We start from the raw sequence: 8806 nt of genomic DNA, 5'->3' as shown, positions 1-8806 counted from the left end.
TTCCAGCCTGGGAGATAGAGCGAGACTCCGTCTCAAAAAAAAAAAAAAAAAAAGAAAGAAAGAAAAGAAAAGAAAAAAGAGAAAGCACTTTAAAAGGCTATTTACAACACTCTACATAAATGGTTTACTTAATTCATAGAACTACAACATAAATTGACTTTAAATCATCATCAAAACATTATTGTATACTTCTTTTTAAGAAAAATACTATTAATGGAAAGATCTCATACATACAAAGAACTCAAACGCCTACTCAGGCCTCTGCAGGATCTCAGGCAACTTTTAAATATGGGAAACATACAACTATCAAAGTAAGATAGTCTACACATTCCTTGGAAGGACTTTAACCTTTCCAAAAAACTGTTTTCCCACATAGGTGGTGTTAACTTGACTTTCCTAAACTCGTAATAACTTTTAGATTTTTTTCATTCCACCACACAACATTCAAAATATTGAAACATCCTAGGTTAATCTAAAAAATGACTTTACAGAAGATAGTTTTACACAAAAATAAGATTAATATGGAAGGCCATAACGACTTTCTGACATTTTAGGTTGCCTTTCTGCAATCACTAACTTCTTTTCTCTTAAGAATGGTAATAACTAAATTTTATTATGTACCTATCACTTGCCAGAGTTTATTATTAATAATTTATAACTATTAACTTACTTGATACAAATAAATCTATAAAGTAGAATTCACATTTATCATGCATACATATAATGCCAAGGAACTGAATAACAAATCCTTTACCAATGGCTACACATACAAAAATTGGTAAAGGGAGGACTTGATTTAGAGAGCTTCAGAATCCACAATACTTAATAACTAACTTCTGACACATTTCAATCCCAGAAATTCTTAATAGCTAAAAGCATCACCATAATTAGAATAGTGAAAAGTATTAATGTACAAGAAATAGGTTTAGACTTTCTCACTGTGAAAGCACAACCCCAAATTCAAATATCAGAGAGTTGAAGAAAAACAGAACTAAAATGACTTAAATGATAAATTGCCAAATACAATGCTAGGTGGTGGAAAGAATCCTCCTATTTATGATATTTTGTAAAAGTCAATTAAATGTTTAGGAGAATTCAGTAATTAAAGTAATACCTGAGAACCAGGTAGACATAGACAGGATAGGAAATATTACTTTCACAAAGGAAAACACATATTATTCAAACAGGATAATAAAGATAATCATATTTTTTAAAAGGACTTAAATGAAAACAATCATATTTTTTAAAGGACTAAAATGAAAACAATTCGCTTTTACACAATGTGTTCAAATAGTCAAATAAAATGCTAAACATGGACAGGCATTAAGAGAACTGTAAAATAAACTACAAAACAATGCTGCTTTGAGGTTACCTTCAGTTGGACAAGGGGGCTAAAATATGCCCATAAATGATTACATTATTTGTTCATAAGTGATTAAAAGATTTAAAACAATACTAATAACAAACTGTAAGAATTCAGAGTCCCAGAAATCGTTCATTCCCTTCCATCAATTTCTACCATTCTCTCCAAAGCAATATGCACGAAGTCTAATGGGTATTTAATATCCAGGCAGGTCCAACAGTCACAAGAAGCAAACGTGTAAAAAGACAAGAAGAAATAAAAGAAAGAAAATGTTGAAAGATACCAAAATAAAGTATCTTGGATTTTTCAAAGATTTATCCCATAATACTAAATATTTTTACACGAACTAATGGGCCATGATAATCCCAAATATTCTGTATAATAAGGATTTATAAATTATATGTTTGGTTTGCAAGAATGAAATTATCATGTATAGTTTTTCTGATGAAAACATTTTTCTAAGTCATATATTAAATATCACTTTAATGTGGAATATTATTGAAAATATTCCAACTCATGAACAAAGGGTTGAATGATTAGAGTTTAGAAGATACTTGCAAGAATAAAGTAATCATTTCCTAAACATAGAGGCTCAAAAAATGTTAAGTTGGCGACAATACAACTGTAAAAATCATGTAGAATAAAAAACATGTCTCCAAATGGTAAAATGGTCTAAATAATGAATTAAAAGAAGGATTACAAATCTCTTCCCTCTTGATTTTACTTTTTAACTAGTTTATAATAAAATTAGGAAGAATATGAAAACTATCAAATTTTGAAAAACACTATCATTCTGTATTTTATCACTACACTGCTTAAAACGGCAATAGTGAAACACCAAAGATATTTGTGACTACCAGACACTAAAAAGTCAGATAAGATGAATAAACCGAGATCTTAAAGTGAATAAAAGTAAATATAAAGACAACATATTTAAAACATGCATTTCAAAGTACAGCATATGGAGTAAGATTAAGAGTTCAGTGCCTAAGGACAAAAGAATAAACGCTTTGGGGGAATACTTTCACCAAAGATCAAAATGCCCTGAACGTCCTTAGAGTATTGTTCAGAGAAGACGGCTGTAAGGCAGGCCAAAATAAATATTCAGTAAAAAATGGATATCATCCAACCATAACTTGAGTTTCAAGATAGACCCAACTTGTGGAGAATGATTAATACTGTATTATGCCACTGAGAAAATTCAATTAATTATAAAAGGTTTCTAAAAACTAAACAATGTTTAAATTTTCACTATAAAATACGGTGAAAAACTAAATCTGAAACACTTTTAAAGTAACTACAATTTCCACAAATAGAATTTATGAGTTCTAAATTTAAATGGACTTACTTTGAGGCCATGATCAACATTTAAATCTTGCTCTTCGCCTACATCAACTGATCCCAGATCAGGAGGAAGGCAGGGGCTGAAGGCCATGAGGTCCGTCTTCGGTGGCCCCTCACCAGAGCACACCCTCTGCGGCTGTTGTTGCGAGTATGACCAGCTCCCCACCGCACTGGAGCACACCAGAGTGGGCTTGCCCGCCCGGCACCCGCCCTCAGTGGGCAGTGCTGAGCACCGCAGCGCAGTGTACAGCAGCAGCGTGAGCACCAGCAGGCTGGATACCGCGCAGATGGCGATGATCAGGTACACGTTGACATCCACCAGCGCCGCTTCCGGACCCAAAACGCCAGCCGACTGCCTCGATGACGCTTTTGGAGCCTGGCCGCTCTCCACCAGCGACACCAGAACCGTGGCCGTGGCGGTCAGCGCAGGTTCACCATGATCCTTCACCAGGACCAGCAGACGGTGGCGCGGAGAGTCCGCTTCGTCCAGGACACGAGTGGTGCTGATCTCGCCCGTGTACAGCCCCACGCGGAACGGGATGCGAGGGCTGCTTGCAGCTGGCTGCAGCTCATACGAAAGCCACGCGTTGTAGCCCGAGTCGGCGTCCACTGCGCGCACCTTCGCTACCACGTGGCCCGCGCCCACAGACCGCGGCACCAGCTTGCTCGCTGCGCCACCAGTGCCACCCACCCGAGGCTCCAGCAGTGCCGGCGCGTTGTCATTCTCGTCCAGCACGAACACCTGCAGCGTCACGTTGCTGCCCAGAGGCGGCACGCCCGCGTCGCGCGCGCTCACCTGGAACTGCAGCAGCTCTAGCTCCTCGTGGTCCAGCGGCTGCAGCGCGTACACCTTGCCGCTCTCCGTGTGCACCGAAATGTAGCTCGACAGCGAGCGCTCGCCCACCCGCCGCTCCACAAGCGAGTAGGACACCAGCGCGTTCTCCTGCGCGTCCGCGTCTCGCGCAGACACCGTGAAGATGTGGCAGCCCGGCGGGTTGTTCTCCTTCACGAACACCGTGTACTCGGGCTGCGCGAACGCCGGAGCATTGTCGTTCACGTCGGCCACCTCCACAGACAAGCTGGCGGTGGCCCACAGCGAAGGCGAGCCCCCGTCCCGCGCGGTTACCACCAACTCATAGGCCGACACTCTCTCGCGGTCCAGGGCGCTGTCCAGCACCAACGAGTAGTAATTCTTGAAGGTGGACACCAGCTTGAAGGGGACATGGGGCATCAGGGAGCAGGTCACCTGCCCGTTGGCACCTGAATCGAGGTCGTTCACGCTAATTAGGGCGATGACAGTACCAAATTGAGCGTCTTCACGTACAGGCAAGGATAAGGAAGTCAGTGCTATCTCAGGGACGTTATCATTTTTATCCAAAATTCTCACTAAAACGGTGCAATGACCCGCCATGGGAGGATGGCCTTTGTCCGTGGCGTCAATGAGGATTTTGTATAAGTTTTCTTGTTCAAAATCCAAATTACCCCGAATCACTATTTCTCCCGTATTTCGATCTATGCTAAAGTGGTCAATAACCATAGTTTCAACAAGGCTATTAAAAGAATATGAAATTGCCCCATTGGCTCCTTCATCCGGATCAGAAGCATTCAGTTTGATAACTGTTGTTCCGTTGTCTGCGTTTTCGAATATTCTTACTTCGTATTCAGACTGTTCGAAAGTGGGAGCATTATCATTCACATCCAGCACTGTGACCAGCAGCTGAACAGTGCCTGTGAGCTCAGGTTTGCCCCCATCTGTGGCTGTCAGGAATAAGTGGTGCGCAGGAGCGTCCTCTCTGTCCAAGGATTTTCTTAATACGAGCTCAACCAGTTTATTCTCATCGTTCTTTGAATTCACATCTAGCATGAAGTAATCATGAGAGCTAAGCCTGTAGGTTAACACGGAGTTAGCTCCAACATCTGCATCGGACGCGCCCTCTAGCGGAAACCGAGAGTCTGGCATTCTGGATTCTGAAACAAACAGCTTTTGGTCTTTTACCCGGAACACTGGCGGGTTGTCATTAACATCCTTCACCTCCACGTCCACATGGAAAACCTGCAGCGGCCTGTCCACGATCACCTCCAGGTGGATGCTGCACTCCGCGCTCCGCCCGCACAGCTCCTCGCGGTCGATCCGAGAATTCACAAACAAAATGCCATTCTGCAGACTTACCTCCAGAAGGTCCCGGTGTCTTTTGGACGCCACCCGGAACAGGCGCGGCACCAGCTCCGCCAGCTCCAGCCCCAGGTCCTGCGCGATCCGGCCCACGAAGGTGCCGTGTTTGGCCTCCTCGGGGACGGAGTAGTGGAGCTGGCCGCTCCCCACCTTCCAGGCTGCGAGGAGCAGAAGCAAGAGTAGTAGTCGCCAGGATCCCAGCTCTCCTCGCCAGTGATAATCCATGTTAAATAGTCGTTTCCTATCAGAAAATATTATCTTAATATAAAGATGAACGACTGTACTTTCAGAGTCTTTTAATCCAATTCCGCTGCATCTCCCGTTGTTCGGCCTTTAGAGACAGATGCTGTCAGAGAAAAGACTTTGAACATTGACCAACCAGAACTTCTTGGTAGACAGCGACATCATGTGGCTTCAAAAGGTAATGATTACATGAATTACTTCCGCAATATCTGGGTTCTTCTATGCACTTTCTATTTCTTTATCATAATTTAATAGTAAATCCTTAACTTTATCAATTGCAGAGGCATTCATACTGTCTGGCTCCTTACATTAGTTTCAGCTAGGGATTTCTTCTTCATAAGGAAAGGAATTTCTTCCCAATATTTCAAATATCGTATCAATTAATAATAAATTTAAGTATGACCTGTATGTCATGGATATCAGAAATGTAAACTGTCCTCCATAGTTTCGTGTGGAAGAAATGCATTAATATTTATTTGGTCACCAGAAACACTGGTATATATTACTCTGAGGTGAGCATATAATTCTAACTTTTCTACATTTTATCTTCTTGTGTTCTTATTGTTAAATTTTTGCTTTTCTTTATTCAATAAATGTCAAATTGCCTGAACCGTTTTATTTACTAAAGTAATAAAAATGTATGTGCATATTCTTTACACTATTTCTCTATATCTCTATAGCTTGTTAAATTCAGCCTCTCACTTAAAACATTTTCCTTTATGATTTCTCTGACATGCCAAACTCTAGCAGTATTGCCATCATTGGCTTGTTAGTTCTTCATCTTTCTTCTGCTCCAAAAAGTGAGTATTTACCAGAATTATGCCTTTAAACTTTTTTCCCCAACTTTTTATTTAACGTTTCTATTTCCACGGCTTTAAACTAGCCTATTATTTGAAGTATTCTTAACTCCATATCTGCAACCCCCTATTTTCATTTTCTACCTGACATTTTTACCTGTATACCCTAACATTGCCTAGAAAATGAGTCGACCAAAGTTAAAAGAATATCTAATCAATAATCACCCAAAACCCAAATCATTAAAAAATCACAATTTTTATAGCATAGTGATTCTCCACATTTACTCATATGTATTTTTATGACTTCTTTTCCTTTGCCTACCATATTTAAAATTTGTATACATCCCATCTCTCCTTTCACGTGTGATAATTTCTGTCCTTATTAGTACAGCTTTCACTCGATTTCACTAAAATCTTCAACAAGTTTATCTTTCTATTGACTAATTGTCAAGACATTAGACTTCCATCTGGGAGATACGCTACGTGACCATGAGCCAATCTTCTCAGTGCTAAGGCTAACCACTTTCCAATAGGAGTCATATTTTACAGAAAATATGTTGTCTCCTTCTTGGCACACTCTTTGTTCAAGGTTTTTCTTCTATTACTTCATCTTTTTCTGTCAAAATTCTATTCATCTTTCAAAGTCCACCTCAAAAGTAAATTCTCCATGGATTCATCATGAATGCCTTCATAGTAGGCAATTAAGAGCTCCTCCAAATTTCTACAAAATTCTTACCAAAAACGTAGGTTAAATAGGAAAGGCAAATAAGGGTATTTTCTGTGAAATGATTTAAATTTGTCATCACATTATTTACCCAAAAAAATCTCTGTAGTTGACTCTAAATAGTAGCAAACAATTTGTAAAGAAAATAGTATTTCTCGATATCTCAGGAGTTTGAGACCAGCCTGGGCAACATGGTAAGACCCCATCTCTACAAAAAATACAAAAATTAGTTGGGCATGGTGGTGTGTGCCTATAGTCCCAGCAACTTGAGAGGCTGAGGTAGGAAGATCACTTGAGCCCAGGAGGCAGAGATTGCAGTAAGCCCAGATTGTGCCACTGCACTGCAGTCTGGGCTACAGAGTGAGACCCTGTCTCAAAAATAATAATCATCATCATCATCATAATAATTGATGAATACAGCTTAGGTGGCTAAGGAGGATCCCCTATCAACTTCAGGTATTTCCCAATATAAATAGGATATTTAAAACTTTAATAATATGCTAGGAAGGTTTTAAATATACATGCATGTAAGCATAAAAGCAAAGCAATAAAAACAGATTACAGTTACATCTTTGAAGGTCAAAGATATTTATAGATTTTTCCACAAAACTGAATATCTTTCAACAAGAGCAGCAAACTTGGTCTGCTTATGTGAATGACATATTATGGCTTAATGGTAAATAATTCTATTGATTATCAGACAGGTTTTTGACTTTGCATACCTCTATCCTTATTCACGTTGAAAAGAAAACAGTAACATATCCTAAAATAATTTACTAAAGTATATTAGAATATTAGGAACAGTGAAAATTGTCAGTTCTGGGTTTTTATTTTATTTTATTTTATTATTTCATTTTATTTTATTTTTGAGGCAAGGTATTGCTCTGTCACCTAGGCTGGAGTTCAGTGGCATGATAACTGCAGCTTGGACCTCCCTGGCTTAAGTGATCCTCCCACCTCAGTTTCTTGAGTAGCTGAAACTACAGACATGCATCACCATGCATAGCTAATTTTACAAAGTCTCTACAAAAGATGCACAAGCTGGTCTCAAACTACTAGACTGAAGCAATCCTCCTGCCTCGGCCTCCCGAAATGTTGGGGTTAAAGGTGTGTGCCACCATGCCCCGTTAACTATCATTTTTTTGACCAACCAAATTATTTGTAAAAAATTTTTAAAAGTCTAGACAATTCGGTTATTGTTTCATTAATGTCCCTAATACAGTACTGGATGAATAAATCATGATATATCCATAAAAGAAAATAAGATGCAAATACTTTTAAAAATAAGAAAGCAAATAATCAAAAACAAGGAATAAGCGCTAATGAAATAATATGCCACAAAACCCAATATATAATTTAGGCCGGATGCGGTGGCTCACTCCTGTAATCCCAGCACATTGGGAGGCTGAGGCAGTCAGATCACTTGAGTCCCAGATTTCGAGACCAGCCGGGGCAACATGGTGAAACTCTGTTTCTACTAAAAATACAAAAAAAAAAAAAAATTAGCATGGCTTGGTTGTTGGCGTCTTTAATCCCAGCTACTTGGGAGACTGAGGCATGAGAACTGCTTGTACCAGAGAGGCGGATTTTGCAGTGAGCTGAGATTGCACCACTGCACTCCAGAGAGGGCGACAGAGTAAAACTCTGTCAAACACACACACACACACACACACACACACACACACACACACACACACACACACACTATATATATATAACTTAAAGTGGAAAACCAAAAAGTGCAGAAAGGTAGGTTTCTACTGTAATCACTTCTTTTTTTAAAAAAAAGGAAAGATGAAAGGCAGGCTGGGTGTGGTTGTTCGTGTCTGTAATCCCAATACTTTGGGAGGCCAAGGTAGGAGGATCGCTTGAAGCCAGGAGTTCAAGACCAGCCTGGGAAACAAGACTCCACCCTGTCTCTACAAAAATAAAATAAAATTAGCCAGGCACAATGACATGCAAACTGTATTCCCAGCTACTCCAGAGGCTGAGATGGGAGGATCCTGTGAGCCCAGGACTTTCAGGTTGCAGTGGGCTATAATCCCACCACTGCATTTCAGCAGCCTGGGTGATGGAGTGAGAGCGTGTCTTGAAAGAAGAAAGAAAAAAGAAAAAGAATGAAAGAAAAAGGAAGAAAGAAAGAAAGAAAGGAAGGAAGGAAG

General features: G+C 40.0%; 8 protein-coding genes and 1 further gene across 11 annotated transcripts in view; all 9 read right to left on the bottom strand.

Moving 5' to 3' along the window:
* PCDHA8 (protocadherin alpha 8) overlaps positions 1-5240 on the bottom strand; it is a 171161-nt gene extending 165921 nt beyond the window's left edge. The window contains exon 1 of one of the 2 annotated variants that reach the window (NM_018911.3): positions 2712-5240. In NM_018911.3, the coding sequence (NP_061734.1) occupies positions 2712-5105 (2394 nt within the window). In that variant the 5' untranslated portion in view covers positions 5106-5240. Of the gene's footprint in view, positions 1-2624 lie in introns of those variants that run through there. The other variant, NM_031856.2, reaches the window with a different exon arrangement.
* PCDHA@ (protocadherin alpha cluster, complex locus) overlaps positions 1-8806 on the bottom strand; it is a 226209-nt gene that overhangs the window by 165918 nt on the left and 51485 nt on the right.
* PCDHA1 (protocadherin alpha 1) overlaps positions 1-8806 on the bottom strand; it is a 226208-nt gene that overhangs the window by 165921 nt on the left and 51481 nt on the right. The window lies entirely within an intron of this gene.
* Positions 1-8806, bottom strand: part of PCDHA2 (protocadherin alpha 2) — a 217496-nt gene that overhangs the window by 165921 nt on the left and 42769 nt on the right. The gene's annotated exons all lie outside the window — the stretch shown is intronic.
* PCDHA3 (protocadherin alpha 3) overlaps positions 1-8806 on the bottom strand; it is a 211291-nt gene that overhangs the window by 165921 nt on the left and 36564 nt on the right. The window lies entirely within an intron of this gene.
* PCDHA4 (protocadherin alpha 4) overlaps positions 1-8806 on the bottom strand; it is a 205280-nt gene that overhangs the window by 165921 nt on the left and 30553 nt on the right. The gene's annotated exons all lie outside the window — the stretch shown is intronic.
* PCDHA5 (protocadherin alpha 5) overlaps positions 1-8806 on the bottom strand; it is a 190735-nt gene that overhangs the window by 165921 nt on the left and 16008 nt on the right. The gene's annotated exons all lie outside the window — the stretch shown is intronic.
* Positions 1-8806, bottom strand: part of PCDHA6 (protocadherin alpha 6) — a 184388-nt gene that overhangs the window by 165921 nt on the left and 9661 nt on the right. The gene's annotated exons all lie outside the window — the stretch shown is intronic.
* The window catches only part of PCDHA7 (protocadherin alpha 7), a 178079-nt gene that overhangs the window by 165921 nt on the left and 3352 nt on the right, over positions 1-8806 (bottom strand). The gene's annotated exons all lie outside the window — the stretch shown is intronic.

The sequence above is a fragment of the Homo sapiens genome, chromosome 5, assembly GCF_000001405.40.
Source record: "Homo sapiens chromosome 5, GRCh38.p14 Primary Assembly".
NCBI lineage: Eukaryota > Metazoa > Chordata > Mammalia > Primates > Hominidae > Homo > Homo sapiens.
This window is presented reverse-complemented; position numbering and strand designations above follow the sequence as displayed.